Source organism: Homo sapiens, chromosome 22 (genome assembly GCF_000001405.40).
Source record: "Homo sapiens chromosome 22, GRCh38.p14 Primary Assembly".
Lineage (NCBI taxonomy): Eukaryota > Metazoa > Chordata > Mammalia > Primates > Hominidae > Homo > Homo sapiens.
This window is the reverse complement of record NC_000022.11, coordinates 32,573,990-32,593,955: the sequence shown is the minus strand read 5'-3', so window position 1 is coordinate 32,593,955 and position 19,966 is coordinate 32,573,990. Positions and strand designations below refer to the sequence as shown.

General features: G+C 44.2%; 1 protein-coding gene and 1 long non-coding RNA gene across 20 annotated transcripts in view; one reads left to right on the top strand and one right to left on the bottom strand.

Annotated features, from left to right (window-relative positions):
• The window catches only part of SYN3 (synapsin III), a 550,562-nt gene that overhangs the window by 464,426 nt on the left and 66,170 nt on the right, over positions 1-19,966 (top strand). The gene's annotated exons all lie outside the window — the stretch shown is intronic.
• Positions 7,437-19,017, bottom strand: SYN3-AS1 (SYN3 antisense RNA 1). 2 transcript variants are annotated; one of them, XR_001755503.2, is made up of 4 exons: positions 13,606-19,017; positions 9,570-10,079; positions 8,310-8,457; positions 7,437-7,472 (listed from the first exon to the last, which is right to left on the bottom strand). It is a non-coding gene; the product is annotated as an SYN3 antisense RNA 1 (long non-coding RNA). The 2 variants fall into 2 exon arrangements; XR_001755501.2 differs by lacking the exon at positions 13,606-19,017 and adding an exon at positions 10,528-12,200.

Sequence of the window (19,966 nt, the reverse complement as noted above, 5' to 3'; positions counted from 1 at the left end):
TATAGTGGCCTCTGGTGCATGCTTCTCTCCTGGCTTTCCTCCTCTCTGTCTCTTGCCACTCCTTCTTGTTCTCCTTCAAGAACTTTTCTTCCTGCATCATCCCTAACCGTGGCTATTCCATCTGCACACGATCCCTGAGTGCTCTTGTCAGCTACCTCAGCTTCAGCTGCCATCTGCATGCCAACAGACTCCCGAGTCACCTTTTTCCTTCCCAGAGCATCAGGCTCTTATATCCAGTTATGTCCTCTACATCTCTACTTTGTCTCCCATGGAAACCTCAGAGCCTAAACATCCCAGACCAGGCTCAGCATCTTCCCAGACACCCTCACCTCCCTCCTTCTCCTCCTCCTCTGCTTCCTCCTGTGACCTCCATCTCTGCAGCAGGAACCACCAGTCATTTAGTTGCCTCAAAACAGAAACCTGGGAGTCATCTCCCCCTCCTCCATGTCCAAATGGTCTCCAAGTCTTGTCAATTGCCCCTTGTTAATGTTTCTCTGACCTGTATCTTTCTCTCCACCCATTTCCACTATCTTGGACAGCTCTGGTAAAGTCAAAGCATTCCCAAGAATTAAACTCTGTGCTTAAAGCTTAAAATAATCCCCAACAGGACATAAAAAGGAAATAAAGAGATGAGAAACTCAGGTCCAGAAGGGCCTCCCAAAACATGGAAAGGAGGGTGCACTCCAAGGATTAAAAAAAAAAAAAATGACACAGACGAGAATAAACTGAGGTTTGCAAAAATGCTGAGATCAAGGGAAAAGGACTTTTCTCCTTATGTTTGGAATGAGAAAACTTGCAGTAACAGTCTCGACCAAGTTGATGAAGCAAAGGATGTCATATTCATAGCTGAGAGAGAGAAAAACAAAGCTGGTACCTGTGGTACGTTTACCTTCTCTTGGGAGTGAAGATTGTCCTCCTGGAGACAAGCAAAGAGAACGTTCCTAGAAGAAAGCTGGTAAGGAGGCTGTCAATGAGCTCAGTGTTGCTTGAAATCTACCCAGGCCCCCATGGATGCAATTGCTGGCCTATCCCAAATTATACTTCACTCCTTTGTTCTTTTATACTTGTGGTGCCTACTCTATGCTGAGAATTGGAAAATCAATAGGACCCAGTCCCTGTCCTCAAGGAATTGGAGAGATAGTCGTGTAAATATGCATAATGTGTTGTTGGGGGCCTGGTAGAAGGCTGTGCAGAGGGTATGAGGCTTAGAGAAAAGAACTTAATTCTACCTAGTTGGAAAAGGCATCCTAGGAGAATTGAGGCTTGATTTAGAAAGAAAAGTGCATGGCCTTTGTTGGCACTGGTGATTAAGAGCATGCCCAGGAAAGGAGAAAATTCAACTAGTAAGAGGAAACCTGGCATCAGGGGAACTGCATGTGATTGGGTGTGCCTGGAGATTTAAGAAATCCTAAAAAATAAAAAAGACTAGAAGACAAGAGATGGAACAATTACCCCCTTGTATTAAAACAAAAAAATAGTGGACATCATGAGAAACAGAAATCAAAATATGGTGAAACTCTGTGCCATTTTGGGAGTGCTTAGACAGTGGTCCGTATTCATGGGGATACCATAAGTTCGTTAGAAGTCAGTCAGGTTAGACAAGTGGTTGGGAGGAAAATGATCTGCCCCCGGGCAGGAGGCATTTGGATGTGTCTGGAGGCAATTTTATTTGTTATAACCTGGGGACAGTGAGGGGGTAGTACTGATATTTACCAGGTAGAAGCCAGGGATGCTGCTAGACATCCACAGTACATAAGACAGCTTCCCACGACAAAAAATTGTACTGCCCCAAAATGTCAATACAGTCGATCCCACTTGTCTGCTGGGGATACATTCCAAGACCCCCAGTGGATTCCTGAAACCACTGATAGTTCTGAATCATTATTCCTCTACATACCTATGATAAAGTTTAATTTATAAATTAGGCACAGTGCCCTTGAACTTTGGGGGCCACTATGAAGTAGAATAACACTTACTTGAACATTCCGTGATAATGGATCCAGTAACTGAGATGGCTCCTAAGTGGCTAACGGGTGGGTGGCATATACAGCATGGACGTGCTGGACGCAGTGATGATTCACGTCCTGGGCAGAATGGAGCTGGGTGGTGCAAGATTTCATCACGCTACTCAGGATGGTGTGCACTTCAAAACCTAGGAATTGTTTATTTCTGGAATTTTCCATTTAATGTATCTGGACCGCAGTTGACCGTGGGTAACCAAAACCACAGATAAGAAGGGACTACTGGAGTATCAAGGTTGAGAAACATTGCACAAAACTAACTTCATTTCCTTTTTTGGAGATTTTACCAGACTAGAAACCAGAGGAAGCCGTGGTGATAATAGAGTTCAACATGTTTCAAAGCATGTTCTGAAGAATTGTAATTACTCAGGATGCCAAAATCTATTTTTGTCATATAGGTTTGGAAAACTCTGCATTAAAGTAAGCTTTTAGCGCAGAACTTCTTAGAGTCATAAATTTGGTCATATACATTGTTGGGGTACAAGAACGGAAAAGTAAGTAGAAATTCCCAGATTTATCTAACCCCAGAAAACTTTTGCCATTTTCTATTGAGATGGTTGTCCTTTTATTAATTTGTAAGAACATCTCACATTCGAAAACCATTAATGCTTTGTCATACTTTGGAACTATTTTCTCCTTTTGACAATGACATGTTTGCCTTATTATTCAGTTTTTAGCAATTTTTAAGTTTTTTTTTTTAAATGCAGCCATATGTCTCCGTCTTTGGAAGCAGATTGTTATTACGGTGGCTAAGGGTGTTTATTTGAATCTAGGTCACACCACCTAATAGTTGTGAGACCTTAGATAAGTTGCCTCGTCCACTTTAGTTTCTTCTCATGTAAAATGAACATAGTAATAATTGTATGAGCTTCGTAAGCTGGTTGTGAGGATTAAGAGACATTATATATGTCAAGCACATAGCTCAGTGCCTGAAACAAGTGGGCACACCAGAAATATGGCCCGTCATTATTAAGAATGTTCAGACCTGTTCTGGGCACCCAAAATCCAACCTAAGTCAGTAGGGGAGATATGATTAAATAGCATCATATGTCACATAATTTATTTCACTTGGCTACAAGTTTAGTATGACTCAGATGAGGACTGGGTTGCCAAAAGCTCTAATCAACAAATGCCAAATAAATAGATGAAAATAGGCTCAACTTTATTAGTCATCAGGGAAATGCAAATTGAAACCACAATGAGTTGCTACTTTATAGCCACGAGAATAGCCAAAATTAAAAAGATTAATAATGCTAAGTGTTGGTGAGAACATGGAACAGTTGGAACAGACACACAGAAAGTACATATTTTTTGTAAAAGCATAAATTTGTACAACCACTTCGGAATATAGCTTGATATTGTCTACTAAGCTGATCGCACAGGAGTTATTTTAGGTATACCTGACCTAAATACATGCATGTGTGACCAAAGCACATGATTATGCTAGATTTGTTTATAATTGCTGGAAATTCATATGTCCATTTAATAGAATAGATAAATCAATTGTAGTATATTCATATAAATGGAATATTTTCAGCAATAAAAATTAATGAACTACAACTACATATAGCAACTTGAATGAATCTCACAAACACACCATTTAGTGAAATAAGTCAGAAACAAAAGATTGCCTATTTCTATAGTTCCATTTATATAAAATTTAAAAACCAGGAAAACTTAACTATAGCATTAACTCATATACATATTTAGGTGATAGAACTTCTAAGAAAAGCAAGAGATTATCACCATAAAAGTCAGAATAGAAGTTATCTTCGGAGAGGACGGAAGGGATAGTCATGGAGATGAGGCAGAAGTGGGCAAAGTTCTAGTTCTTGATTTAGGGGGTGGTTATGTGGGTATTTGCTTTGTGATAGTTCATTGAGTTGTTGTTTTTTGTTTTTGCCCTTCTTCATAGTTGTGCTATATTTCAAAATAAGATTTTAAAAATGTAATTCACTCTTAGGATCTATGAATGGAAAGATGATACCCAGAACAAAAACAAGAGCCCTGCACCTAGCTAGCCAGTCCACAGCCAGAAGATTCTGGTGTTCTGGGCTGCACCAATTTTGGGTGTTTGAAAGGGATAGTGACAAATTAATGTATGGAAGAATGAACCAAGTAGTGGATGGATGAGGCATATACCCCAGAAGAACTAGAGAGAGTGTGACCAACAACATCTTCAGAAACATGGAGGATTATCATGGGAAGATAGATTAGACCGATTCTACATAACATCTAGTGGGCATAGTTGGGACCCAATCAGTGTTATCAGTCCTGTGGAAAGAGCAACTTTCTAACAATCAGAGGCACATCTTACTGGACTGCCCCCTTAGGTAAGAGGTTCTCATCACTGGACAGTTGGAGCAAAGATGAGAGAGTTAGGAAACTTATTGAGAGTTTCAAGAGATTAAGTATTATGTGAGGTTCTTAGCCTGAGATATTTGCACCCCCTGAAATAGAGACAAACTTGCATGTGTGTTTATGTGTGGATGTGACATGAGCATTTTGGGGGAAAGGGGTCCATAACTTCCTTCAGCTTCTCATTAGTCGCCTGACCAGCCCAATTAAGACACCATGGAGGTGACCCTTACATTATCCTCCAATGATGAGATTCTGTGGTATTAACCAATGTTATGAGCAGTCCATTGGAAGGAATTGCTCAATATCATGTTGATGCAGAGCAGGCAAGCCCCACAACTGGGACTTAGCCTGGGAAGGTTCTTGGCTTTGTTCGGGAAAGAATTCAAGAGCAAGAGAGCAAACCAGTGGTAGGAGAAAACAGCTTTATTGAGTCAGCAGTGTTACAGCTCCGTGACTCCTCCTGCAGAGCAGGGCTACCCCACAGGCAGTGTGTTGAGAATAGGAGCTCGGGGCAGTGTTTCAGTCATATTTATACCCATTTTAATTACATGCAAATTAAGAGGCGGGCTATTCAGAAATTTCTAGAAAAGGGGTGGATCTGTCAATGCCATGGAAAGAGGCAGTAACTTCTGAGTTACTGGCAAGGGTAAACTGGCATGTACTGGTGAGCATGTCTTATGGAGAGGTGCTTTTGCCTCTTCCCTGGTTCAGCCAGTCATCAGTCTGGTCTGGAGTAAAGACCTGCCTCCCACCTCAGCGTTTCCATCGTAGAATTAGAAATTAAGCTCAAGGCCAACCGCTGGTATAGTGTCAGGGTAAAGCTTACAGAATCTGGAGTCAAGGTTCCTGGTTTAAATCTGGATTTACTATTTACTGTTTGTGTGTCCTTGGGCAAGTTGCTTAACTTTTCTCTGTGCTTCAATTTCCTCATCTCTAACACAGGGACAATAATCTCCCTCCCAGGGTTGTAATGATGATAGAATAAATTAATCCAGGCTTAGGAAGGTGGTTGGTTCAGTGAATGGGAGCTTTAAAAACACACTACAAATATACCCTGTTATGTTGATTACTTAACCATTTATCTCAGCTGAGATGAAATAAGCAGTTACAATAGACAAAAAGGGGAGAGGAATTGGATTAAATTCTGAGTAAATTCTTAAAATAAGGAAATTCAGCATCCCCAGGAGAGGCTGCAGTCACAAATGAACCCCACTCTAGGAGTCATCTTATCCTTATTTCATAGATTCAGGCTCTCAGGGCTTGACTCCCAGCACCTCACTTAGAAGATAAGAACTTGCGGCCCAGAGAGGACAAGGGCCTTGCCCAAGGCCACACAGCAAGGGAGCATCTCCAGTAACAGAACAGGAAGGGAAAGAAAGGCCTTTGAAATCGTTCAGCCCCATTCCATTCTTTAGAGATGAGAAGAGTAGTAATAATACGAGCAATAATAATCACAATAATAAAAGCCAGTGTTCTGTAGAGCTTACTCTGTGCAGGCACTGTTCTCAGTGCTATATGTATATATGTAGTGCAGTCCTCATAACAACCCTATGAGGTGGATACTATTAGAACTTCCATTTTACAGATCAGGAAACTGAGGCACAAGCAGTAAATGGTGGAGTGGGGCACAACCCTCAGGCAGTCTGGCTGAGCTCAGGGGAGTGACATGGTACCAGATATCCTAACACTCCGCCATGCAGGTACAGGGTTTGTTGTCCTTCTAAGAAGACCCTAGAGTAATGATGACAGGTTGGGAAACCTCTGCAGACACCCCTGTCTGTTCCGGGTGATGAGAGGGCCGCTCCTCCAGGCGATGTTTCCAGCAGCGCCAGCATCTTGCACACGCTGGCTTAGCCAGGTTCGCTGCCGTCATCAGCTCCAAGTGACCTGGACTCGGATCCCTTCTCTTAGGCTGACTCACTTTATGAGCTTTCCGGGCCTGGTCGGCCTTTGGAGTGGGAGTCAGTGGCCCAGTAACACGGTGATGAAGAGGGAGTATTAGAAAATGAGCAAATAGAGGAATGGATCCCAGGGGAATAGTTAAGAAATCAAAAGGTTCCCCGCAACTGGGAGACAGCCAGAGAGGAGAGTCTCTCTGTGTTTCACAGATCAGCAGAAGTCCAGCCAAAAGTGAGCAGAGAAGAGGCACCCACCCACGAGGTGTTCAGGGGGAGGGAGTTCTGGGACCCAGCTAAACCGTGAGGGACCCTCCCCCCCAACACCCACTGCCCTCCCTCTCAATCCCACCTCCCTCCCTATGTCCTCTCTCACCTACCTGCCACTCCCTTTTGATGGCCACTGGCCTCCTTTATTCTCTGCTTCTCTCTCTCTTTTTTTTTTTTTTTTTTTTTGAGATAAGAGCTTTGCTCTGTCACCCAGGCTGGAGTGCAGTGGTGTGATCTCGGCTCACTGCAACCTCTGCCTCCCAGGTTCAAGCGATTCTCCTGCCTCAGCCTCCTGAGTAGCTGGGACTACAGACGCAGGCCACCATGCCCAGCTAATTTTTGTATTTTTAGTAGAGATGGGGTTTCACCATGTTGGCCAGAATGGTCTTAATCTCCTGACCTCGTGATCCACCTGCCTCAGCCTCCCAAAGTGCTGGGATTACAGGCGTGAGCCACCGCTCCCGGCGTATTCTCTGCTTCTCTTGAGCACAGTGGGCCCTCGGGAGGGGATACATCAGTCCCCTACACCTTAATGAAGACTTTAGGCACTGTGCTCCCTTTACACATCCTCTGCAATGAAGTTGTCCTCTCCACAAATGCAACATACACAGTCCATCCTCATCATTCACAGACTCCATGTTTGCCAATTCATCTACTTGCAAAAATTCCTTTGTAGCCCCAAAATGAAATCTCGCAGCAGTTTTGTGGCCATTCACGGACCTGCTCAGAGTGGTGAAAAATTTGAGTCAAATAAGATAACACTCTGTCTCCTGGTTTCAGCTCTCAAACCGTAAACAAGTGTCCTTCTTGCAGTCTATTTGGTGCCACACTTATGCATTTTTGTGCTTTTTGTTGATGATTTCACTGTTTAAAATGCCCTCGAAGTGTAGTGCTGAAGTGCTGTCTAGTCTTCCTAAGTGATATTCTTTATGGAAAAAAATAGATGTGTTAGATAAGTTTCATTTAGGCATGAGTTATACAGTACCATTGGCATTGAGTTTAATGTCAATGAATCAACAATATATATTAAAATGTCTTTCAGCAGAAACACACATAACACAAGTTTATATATTAATCACTGGATGAAAATATTGTGACCAGAGGCTTAAAGGAACTTAACTCTGTATTTCTCCTAGGAGCAATGGGTCAGTATTCACTTATTCAGTGTTCACTGCAACTTTATAAGGCATAACTAGCATTAATAATGAGAATCAACTGCATGTGTATATTTGCATGTGTGTGCATGTGTTTGTGTGTATATGTGTATATGTATATACATACATATACATATATACATATACATGTATACATATATACATATATACATGTATACATGTATACATATATACATATACACATATATACATATACATATATACATACATACATATATACGTATACATACATACATATATACGTATACATACATATATACATATATACGTATATACACATATATGTATACATACACATATACGTATATACACATATATGTATACATACACATATATACGTATATATACGTATATATGTCTATATACGTATATATACATATAAAAGACACACATGCCCATCTTGTAAAGAGTCCTTAAATTTGCTTCCTGCCTTTGAAAGCTAAAATGCTGTGATTCTAGGCGTAAGCAGAGCTAACTGAAACAGTCATCCTGCTTCTCTGTGTAACCCAATGTTCACCTGTTGAAGGCAGGACCATCTAGATCATGAAGTCATTTTTCTTACAAGAACTTAAAGCTAAGACCTCTACCTGAGATCTTCCTCTGCCACCTCCTGCATCTTCACATCATCCTTGGTTCACTGGAAAGAGCCCTGGCCTGGTTTGGGAAATCTGGGTCATCCTGCTAGCCTCACACTCCCTGGGGCCAGCAGTAACCACCAGTGCCAGTCACTTAAACCTGTAAATGCAATTTTCCCTTATTTCATGATTTTCCTCACCCAATCACTTGGGAGAGCTAGTGAATAAAAGTGCATTAGAAAGTCTAAAGCTTCATAGAAATAGGAGATGGGGAGATAAGCAAAAGAGAGTATGGGCTTTGGGCTTAGACTGGCGCTGGGGAAAACCAACTGATGCTGGGGTTCTGAGCTTGGCTCAACTGTTTGCCAGCATTGTGACCTTCAGCAAATTTCTTAACTTCCCTGGGCCTCTGCTTCTCTGGGATAGCTCAGAGCAGATTACATGGATGAATAAGGAAAGAGAAGGAGGATAGTAACAATTCCCAAGTGCCCGTACACCACGATGAGTGCCTTGTGCATCTCCTCTAACCTTCAGAGGTATTTCAGAGGTATTTCTGATCCCTGTTTTATAGAGGTGCCAAGAGTCATTCTGCCCAAGGTCACAGGTAAGTGGTGAAGCAGAATTTGGACTGAGATTGACAGCCCTGTTCTGCTTGCTGCCAGGGACCCTCAGGAACACCCTGGTGTAATCATCTCTTCCCAGTACAAGGCAAGGAGCCAACTTAATTAGAGAGTTTATTTATAAAGAATTTCACAAGGCCCCACCCAAGAAACATGTCAGTACCTTTGAGACCAGCACTGACCTTTTGCATATGAACTGCTCTTGTGTTTTGGTCAACTGATCTCACACCAGGCCTGAAGCCAAAACCAAGAACATTCATTTCAAAAGAATGATTTAAACAAAAAGAAAGAAAGAATACCACCCTCTGGCACTGTGTTTTAAAGACAGTGTACACCATCTATAAGCCCCATTTTGTCAAGAGGGACAGAGGCCCAGGAACAGACTCATTTGGAAGAAATAAATTGTCTGTTCTTATGAGCACTGATGCAGAGGACCCCTCCATGAAAAACAAAGAATATCAATTTTTTTTAACTGACAGACATTGAAAAGCAATAAGATTTCCTTTTTTCTTTTCTCTGTTTTCCTGGTCATGTCTGTTGAGCCATCCTGACACTGCATCTAACAAAGGCCAGAGAATTCTTCCCCTTAAGAGACCCTCAGACAGAAGTGGGGCACACATCACCCGGTGGGGTGGGGAACATTATAATTTACCGCACTCCAATCACCAAAAGCTCCTTGCTGCTCCCCGGCATCAGACAGTCACATACAATTCACAAATTTGTAAATTTTTGAGGCTCCCAGCAGTCCTTTGAGGTGGATATTGCGTCATGATGTCATCATAATAGGTTTGTTTGCCCGATGCACAGTAAGTCAATAAACCAAGGCAACAGGGATTGCAGCAAAGAAAGAGTTTAATAATCATACGGCAGCCAAACAAGGAAACAGGAGGAAACCTCAAATCCACCCCTCCAGGGAGTTGGAGCTAGAGATTTCAAGGGGTTTGAAGTGGGCCAAGGTCCAGGATTATTGATTGGTCAAAGAGTGCAGAGTAAAGTCATGGGACAGGGAAATGAAGAAACTGCATTCTCGTGCTGATTCGATTCCTCTGTGGTTGTTTTCAAACTGGTTGGCATTAGCTTTCCTGCTGGAATTCAGGATCTGAAGAACATCTTAGGCAATTCTTAAACAAAAGCCTTATGAGTCCATGGTCACTGATCGTAGCTATAGGAACAATGGGGATATAAATCAATTCGTAAACAAAAACCTATGATTCTAAGGTTAGAAATCCTAGGTATAGGAACAATGAGGATGCAGATGGTCAGTATCTAGTGCTACCTGACTCTCAGTTACAAGGAAGTGGGCCAAAGTGTGGCCTGATTAGTGCTTAATAGAACTATATTTCTGCACAGGACCCAGGATGTAATTTTTGTTATCCCTGTGAGGACCGTTTCAATGATACTCATTTTACAGATGAGATAAGCAGAGATCAAAGAGGAGAAATGATTTGCACAGGGCTGCATATCACACGCACACGTTCTTCCCACTGATTCTGGCATCCATGCCAGGGGAGGTAAGACTCCAGAGAGTTCTGCCAGGCCTTTTGGAACACAGCCTATATGTCTGCTGAGGGCTTCTCTAGCCAAAACGCTCAGGCACAGCCCATTCTTACCATCAGCAGGCAGGAGAAGCATGATCCTAAAACCAGGGGAGGCCCCCTGCCCTACTGAGGCGTGGGGCACAGGGCAGTCTTCCAGCAAGCTTCCTGGAAGTGAAACCAGCCACATCTCTGGAATCTTGGAAATAGCTGTACCGGGGAGCAGTTGGCATCACTGCCGACAGGTGGCCATGGCAGGCTTGTTTTCCAGGAAGACCACAGATGATGCAGACAATGGGTTTGTTACATTTTGGGGTGTGTGTCTGTCCATGTGTTGGGGGTAGGGGAAGCAGCTTTCTAAAATACAAACATCTGCCTCCATTAAGCCTCCAGATCAATAGGACACTAGCGGCAGACCCTGATCTCTTGCTTGACTCTTGGTCTTCACCCCCAGGAGACCTCCATACCAATAGCTCTGTCCTCCAGGGGTGAAGCTGGAAGACAAAGGAGGCACTGTGATGGGCCAGTGAATGCTGCTCAGCCTTGTTCACGTCATGACACTCCTAGAAAAGAGTGGTAGCTATACAACTCAGCAGGTCGATGGAGGAGGCTGCTAACAGCTGAAGAGAAGGACCTAGAGGCCCCTGGCCACTCTAACAGATAATGGATCAGCAGCCAAGGGCACCGATTCAGATGATCTGGGCAATGGGCCCTGAAGTCAGACGGTCCTGAGCTCTTCGGTAGCCTTGCTGCTCAGTGTGCCCTATGGAAGTACTGGCAGCATCCGTATCACCTGGGAGCCCCTTAAAAATGCAGAACATAGGCTGGGCACAGTGGCTCACACCTGTAATCCCAGAAGTTTTCAGGAGGCTGAGATGGGAGAATCACTTGAGTCTAGGAGTTCAAGACCAACCTAAGCAGCATGGTGAGACCCACCCCCACCCCCAGCCCGTCTCTACAAAAATTAAATAAATAAATAAATAAAAATTAGCTGGTTGTGGTAGCATGTGCCTGTGGTCCCAGCTACTTGGGAGGCTGAGGTAGGGGGATCACTAGAGCCTGGGAAGTCGAGGCTGCAGTGAGCTGTGATCACACCACTGCACTCCAGCCTGGGCAACAGAGTGAGACCCGGTCTCAAAAAAAAAAAAAGGGAGAATGCAGACCTGTTTCCAGACCTGCCAACTCTGAATCTACATTTTAACAAAATGCACAGGTGATTTGCAGGCTGTTCTGCATAACCACTGGTTTTGACCAAGGGATGCAAACTCAGATGCCCAAGGGACCAGGCATTACCATGAGTCAGAAGCCCAGGCTGGGAGTTCGAGGCCATCCTGCAAGAGAAGTCACAACTTAGCCCCAGCCAGGGAAGCCTGATTTCCAGATTCTTTTATAACAATCAATTCTCAGGCCGGGTGTGGTAGCTCACGCCTATAATCCCAGCATTTTGGGAGGCCGAGATGGGTGGATCACAAGGTCAGGAGTTCAAGACCAGCCTGGCCAACATGGTGAAAACCCATCTCTACTAAAAATATAAAAATTATCCGGGTTTGGTGGTGCACGCCTGTAGTCCCAGCTACTTGGGAGACCAAGGCAGAAGAATTGCTTCAATTCTTCAGGAAGCGGAGGTTGCAGTGAGCTGTCATCACACCACCGCACTCCAACCTGGGCCACAGAGTGAGACTCTGTCTCAAAAAAAAAAAAAAAAAAAAAAGAAAGAAAGAAAGAAAAGAAAAGAAAAAGAAAAAGAAAAAAAGAATCAATTATCTGGGGTCTCCAATATCCAGACTCCTTATTTTTAAATATTGGCAACTAATTTAAAAATCTTTTGAAACACTGTATACGTCAAATAAAACAGCCACCCACTTAGGGTATCTTAGGGAGCCAGTTTAGTGCCTCCAGCTTCAGACAGAAGACACTGAATTTGGCCTTACCCTCTCTGTATAGGGGACCATTGAGCTTAATGGTTAAGGCCACAGGATGTACAAAGGACCTAAGAGTTTAAATCTGACTCAGCCAATTCCTAATTATATAACCTTGGGCGAGCACTTGACGTGCGATCTTTGTTTTTCTCACCTGTAAAATAGCCCCAGTTGGCCGGGAGCTACGGCTCATGCCTACTATAATCCCAGCACTTTGGGATGCCAAGGCGGGCCGATCACCTGAGGTCAGGAGTTCGAGACCAGCCTGGCCAACATGGCGAAACCCGTCTCTGCTAAAAACATAAAAATTAGCTGGGCGTGGTGGTGGGCGCCTGTAGTCTCAGCTGCTCAGGAAGCTGAAGCACAAGAATTATTTGAACCTGGGAGGCAGAGGTTGCAGTGAGCCGAGATTGCACCACTGCACTCCAGCCTGAGTGGCAGAGCGAGACTCAGTCTCAAAAAATAAAAACAAAACAGGGCCAGTAAATGTCCCTAGTGGAAAAGGGATTAACCTAAAGACTGATTGAGGTAACGCACTCTTAAAAAATTGTAGATACTTAAGAGATGTTGATTTGCTTCCTCTAGCGCCTGACTGTGCACACAGATCACCCAGGGGATCTTGTTAAAATGCAGGCTCTCATTCACTAGATCTGCAGTCCCGCCTGCCTGGGGTTCTGAATTTCTAACAAGCTCCCAGGTGATATCAATGCTGCTAGACCATGATCTAGGCAAGGGTCATCAAAGTTTTCTGCACAGAGCCAGATGCTACCTATTTGAGGCTTTGCAGGGCACATGGTCTCTGCTGAAGCTACTCAGTCAGCTCTTGTAGTGGGAAAGCAACCACAGACAATACGTAAATGAATGGGCAGTGCTATCTTCCACTGGAACTCTACTCATGGACACTGAAATTTGAATTTCATATCATGTTCCCACTTCGAATAATATTGTTCTTTGATTTTTTTTCCCGACTACAGTAGCTCCCCCTTATTGGCAAAGGATACATTCCAAGACTCCCGGTGGAAGCCTGAAACCATGAACAGTACCAAACCCTACATTTACTGGGTTTTCCTATACATACACAACTGTGATATAGTTTAATTTATAAATTTAGGCACAGTAAGAGAGAAATAATAATAAATAATAATAAAATCAGACAATTATAGCAATCTACTGTCACAGAAGTCATGTGAATGTGGTCTCTCCCTCTCAATATGTCCTGCTGTATAGTACTCACCTATTTTTGGGCCATGGTTGACTGCAAGTAACTGAAACCACAGAAGGTGAAACCATGGATAAGGGGAGACTGCTGTTTAAAATTTTGAAAACTCTTCTTAACCCATGGGCTGTACAAAAACGGGTGGTGCGCTGGCTTTGGCCCTCAGGCCATAGTTTGTTGACGCATGATCTAGGTCATCTTCAACTCTGAGCCTGGCCATCTCCCTCCCCAACCAGGCTGTAAGCTCTGTGGACGCACAAGCTGTACCCAGTGACCTCAGCTCCCCTCCCCGCCTAGGCCAGGGCCCTGGACAGCGGAAAGCCCTGTCCTTTGCCCTACACAATGAGCAGAAGCCTGGGAAGAGAAAGTGTTGCCTTTCAAGGCTGACACTTCTCTGGTGCCTCCCTTCCCCTCCATTCAATTTCACGGTCACACTGTAACTCTATAAACATGTGGTTTATATGACTCAAAAGAATCAGTGACCCGGGAGCTCAATAACAACAGAAGGAGTTTTCATTTATTAAGGGAAAGAGCTAAGAAAAGGAACCAGCACTGATAAGCAGGATAATTAGACAGTTCCCCAAACAGTCCATCAAACCCTGTTGTTCCCATCACCTTCCCACCACCCCTTCTGGCCCCTGGCAGCAAGTGACCCAAGCGGCTGGGGCAAGGACACCTTTGAGCTCTGAGTCCTGATCTTCAGAAGGGTTGGAGGAGGGGCAAAGGCTTTTGAGAATTTGAGACTAATGGCTTGCCATGGTCTGAATGTTGGTGTCTTCCTAAACATATTATTAGGTTCATATGTTGGAACCTAATACCCAATGTGATAGTATTAAGAGGTGGTTCCTCTGGGAAGTGATTAAGTCATGAGGACTCTGCCCACGTGAATAGGATCAGTGCCCTTACGTAGGAGGTGTGAGGGAGCTCCCTTGCCCCTTCCGCTGTGTGAGAATGCAGCAAAAGTCACCATCTATAAAGCCCTCATCAGACACTGATCTGCTGACACCTAGATCTTGGACTTCCCAGCCTGCAGAGCTGTCAGCAATAAATTTCTGAATTATCCAGTCTAAGATATTTTGTTATGGCAGCCCAGACAGACTAAGACATGGCTCTTACATTCATTCAACAAATACTGATGGATTTGGTGCCAAGCTGTTTGGAGTTAAGGAGTCAATAAATGTTCATTGAATATATTGGCAAACATTTCATGAACATTTGTTATATTTAATCAATGGGTTAGATGCTGGGATGACACACTCATGGTTAAGATTCAGAGATGAAAAAGACATAGCTCCTGTATAAAGGGAATTTACACATATGAAACATAGTCACAGGCTAGACAACAGTCTAGCGCAGGGCTTGGCAAACTACCACCCACAGGCCAAATCTAGCCCCACAACCTGATTTTGTTAATAAAGTTTTATTATAACATGGCCCTGCTTATTTGTGCACATAATGTCTGTGGCTACTTTCACACTACAAAATCAGAGTTCAATAGTTTTTATGTCCTACAAAGCCTAAAATATTTACCACTGGACTCTTTACAGGAAACGTTTGCCAATCTCTGGCCTAACACAATGCTTTTCCAAAAATGTGTACAATAAACCCCAATGAGGAATACATTTTGTCTTGCCACCTGATTGCTAGATACTGTATATTGACCAAGATAAGTTTTACAGAATAATACTTGCCCTTACTATGTTCAAGGAATTGTGATATCTTCAGTTCTAGTGTATTTTATTTTTTAAAATGTTGGTTGTGATCCATTAAGTTGATTTGATGACCAATTTCAAACTCACAGTTTGAAAAATATTGGCTTGACTAGGGTCAGTGGCTCATGCCTGTAATCCCAACACTTTGGGAGGCAGAGGCAGGTGGATAGCTTGAGTCCAGGAGTTCAAGACCAACCTGGGCTACATGGCAAAACCCATCTTTACTAAAAATAAAAATAAAAAAATGCCAGGTGTGGTGGTGCACACCTGTTGTCCTGGATACCTGGGAGGCTGAGGTGGGAGGATCACCTGAATATGGGAGATTGAGGCTGCAGGGAGCCATGATCATGCCACTGCACTCCAGCCTAGGCCCCAGAGTAAGACCCTGTCAGAAAGAGAGAGGGAGAGAGAGAGAAAGCAAGAAAGAAAGAAAAGAAAGAAAGAAAAAGAAAGAGAGAGAAAGAAAGAAAGAGAAAGAAAGAAAAGAAAAGGAAAGAAAGAAAATACTGGCTTACTAGAAAGCAAATCATCTTCATTCATTCGTGTATTGAAGAAGTATTTATAGCATCCAGGCACTTTGTACATGCCAGGCACTATTCTAGGCACTGGAGATGCAATATCAAACACAATCAAGTCCCTGCCCCATGCAGCTTACATGCTATGGAGGGAAGCAGATGAAGAAAAGAATAAACAAATAAATCTTCCATATATCAGGAGATGAGAAGGGCTCTGAAAAAGAAAGACACCAAGTAAGAGGCAGAGTGTGACGAATGTGATCAGAGAAGCCTTTCTGTGAGGTGCCATGTAAAGGAAGGAGAGAGTGAGTCATGTGGACATGTGGAGGAAGGGCATGACAGCAGAAGGAACAGCACAGACGAAGGCCCTGGGGCAGGAACAGGGAGGTCAAGGAACAGGGAGGAGGCCAATGGAGCAGGAGTGAGTGCTTGAGGTAAAAAGTGGTAGGAAATAAGCTCCCAGAGTGAGGACAGGTGGTGGAGGAAGATCATGTAGACAATGTACTGTGATCAAGGCAGAATGAATAAACTCTAAAGCAGAAATATAAGCCAAGAGCTGAGAATCCAGTTAGAGTCATGATGGAGGACAAATCTCCAATGATATTTTCATTTATCAAAAAAACATGTAAGTGTGTGTAGACGCTGTACTTAGACAACCACAACAGTGTGAGGATCCAAAGATGAATGGACATTGGGCCTCCCAAGGGGGTCCCTTTCTAGCAGGAATCTAGCCATGCAAGCAAATGATTACATTGTCATAGCAGGAAATGTCATGGGCAACAGGAGCCCCTTCGAGGGGGTCCCAGGGAAGACTTCCATAAAGGTGGGAAACTTCAGCTGTGTCTCCAAAGATAAGGAGACATCGCAGGTAGAAAAAGCAGAGCAAACTGTCCAACACAGCAGGACCTACACACAAAAGCATAAAGGCCCAAGCAAGCTGCTCAGAATGGGGGGAAGCAGCGATGCTTAACCCTGGCAGTGCATTCGAAGCACCCGGGAAGCTTGTAAATTCCACTTCTGCCCAGGGCCTAATCCCAGGGACTCTAATGTGATTGACTGGAGTAAGGCCCAGATGCTGGCATTGTATTATCCCCTGGTGATGCTAATGTGAAGCCAGTGTGGACAAGCCCTGGGCTGGAGTGAGGCCAGGAAGAGAAAGTGAGACTGGGGCCAGATCATGAGAGTGTTTCATGCTACACTCTAGAATACAGGCTTTATCTTCTTGGTGAGAGAGACCCACTGGTGGGTTTCAAGCAAAGAATAGGCATGGTCAGATTCATAAGGGAAAAAAGGCGTCCTGGCAGTGGTGTGAAGAGAAGAGAGGGGTGGGGGTTGGAAGCGGGGGATTAGGGCCCCATTAGGAAGAAACTGCGGCAGTTCAGAGAAGAGATGATAAGGGTTTGTACCCAGGCAGGAAGCAAGGCCGTGAGGAATGAGATAAGGATGCAGTCGAGTGATATGAAAAACGGCAGACTTGAATGAATTTGGGAACTGACTGTGCCAGGCGGGAAAAGAACTCAAGATTATCACGATTCCATTACTGAAGTGTACAATCAAGAAAAAATGGCTTGAAGGGGAAAGAGAATGGGTTCAGGTTTTAACATTTTGAATTTGAAATACCTTACGGAAAATAGTCACCATCATAAACCGTGTATTTATTGACCGCATACTAGGTGCCAGGCCCTGTGCTTCGTAGTTCATGTGCGTTTTCCTACTCAGTTGTCACAGCAGCTCTCTGGGGTAGGTAATCTGATTAAACCCATTTACAGAAGGGAAAACTGAAGCTCAGACAAGCGAAGCCAGTGGGAAGAATGGTGAATTACATCCATTATGGTGTGCACGGGATACTCGGCACAGAGCTTGGCACATGGTGAATGCTCAGAGAATGGCCATACTATTAATAGTTATTATCTCTTCCCCACTGTGGGAAGACCTCAAGCCAGGTCTGCGAGAGAGGGAATCAGGAATACTTGGGAGCCCTGTGGATATGTGGGTGCCTCAGAGTGTCTATATGTCGATAGAACCATACTCAGGCCATTGCTTCATTTTATTTCCGGCTTCCTAATGAGGGCATCTCAAATACTCTTGATATTACCCCCTCACCAGCCCTATCCCACGACCGCTCATCATTATTTTATTTTTTTAAATTTCTTCCTACAAAGTTAATCTCAATGTACTCACATCTGTTCTGTTCTGTGAGGGAAATTGTGTTGTTGGCCACGCAGCCGGAATAGGTTTGTTTTTTTTTGTTTGTTTTGTTTTGTTTTTTGTCTTGAGGAAAGAAGGGGAACTTTATTTATTTTTTAATATAGCTCCTCTTGCCTGGTCCCATGCCAAATAAACAAAGCTGCTATTCATTTCCGTATCTCCCCATCTCTACCGTGCCCAGAGTCATTTTAGCAGCAGCGCCTCTTGGGCTGCCTCTCCGAGAGCCTGGAACAGCAAATAAGAATGTCCTAAAAGTGAGTGCTGTGAAAATAGAATCCTATTTAATGAGACCGCAGAGAGCAAGACCGTTGCTCTCTTGGTGAGTGGAGGAGCAAACATTATGTTTAAAGTTGTGGTCGGAAAATGCTGGATCCTCAAATGTGGCCTCAGCTAAAAGCATCAGCCAGTGCATCGCAGGTCATGACTCAGGGGCAGGTAGCTGAGGCAGCTGCAGGAAGAACTTAGAACCAGGCTGCCGCCCTCTGGAAGACCCCCACCCCCATGCTTGGGGAACCCCCACCCACTCCCTCGCCAGAACACGTCTGTCATGGTCCTTCTCTTCTTGCCACCGCATCTCAATATCAAAGCTGACTCGACTTGTGTCCCATTCATGGAATCACAAGTATTGGGGTTAAAGAGGACTTCCAAAGATGTGGCGTCCAACCTTCCACCCAATGCTTCCTCAACAGTGACCTGGCTTTGCTCTTTTGACTTTGAGCCCTTTGTCCAATGAACAATGAAAACACTTAGTATATTAAACAGATCCTAGTGGAGCTGTTCTGAATGAAAAAAGAAAAGAGATCTAGAGACCCACCCAGCCGGGCTCCCGGCATGGCGCCATTCCCTCCATAGAATTCAGTTTGAAAACCACCCGCTTAGGTCAAAAGAGGGCCTAGGTACCAGGGTCAGCATCCCTTTATTCATTCAGTAAATTGTTCCTAAACACCTGCTAGTGTGCAAGGAGCAGGGAATACATTTGCGAGTTTAAAAGACCAAGTCCCTACTCTCATAGAGCCCATATTTTGCTTATTATTTTGGAGGGTATAGAAAACTATTAATACAAAATAATTTCAGACAGTGCTAAGTGCGAGGAAAAACACAAAACAGAGTAATGCAATAGCATATGACTGGGAGTAACAGATGGGCTGCTTTAGATGGGATGATCCATCAGCTATTCAGATCATGAGAAGGCGCTGCCTAGCTATGGGACTGGCTGCAGCGAGAGCTTTGCAGGCAGAGGGAGTACCAAGGGCAAAGTCCCTGAGGCAACACTGAGCTTGGTGAGTTCTAGGAAGTAAAAGAGAGAGGGAGGGGGCAAGTGGTAGGAGATGAGGTCAGAGAAACCAGCAAGGCTAAACCACATTAGCCCCTGTAGGTGCATGTTATGAAACACTAGCAAGCGTGGGTTGTGTTCAGGTGCTGTTGGCATCGAACACGATGGTGATTTTTTTTAAAGAGATGGAGTCTGTCTCTGGTGCCCAGGCTGGAGTACAGTGACGTGATCATAGCTCACTGTAGCCTCAAACTCCTAGGCTCAAGCCATCCTCCCACCTCAGCCACCCAAGTAGCTGGGACTACTGGCGTGCACCACCAAACATGGCTACTTTTTTTATTTTGTTAGAGACAGGGTCTCACTATGTTGTCCAGGGTGATCTTACACTCCTGGCCTCAGGCGATCCTCCTGCTCAGCCTCCCGAGTGGCTGGGATTGTGGGTGTGAGCCACTGTACCCGGCTCACGATGGTGGTTTTATTTCCTGCCAAAATAATGAAATTTGGACACTTTCACTTCTTTCCTCATCAAGGAAAGGGCCCTGAGAGGGAGATGAGAGTCCTAACTTAAAAATAAAAAAACCCCAGCCAAGCTCAGTGGCTCATGCCTGTAATCCCAGCATTTTGAGGGGCCGAGGCGGGAGGATTGCCTGAGCTCAGGAGTTCGAGACCAG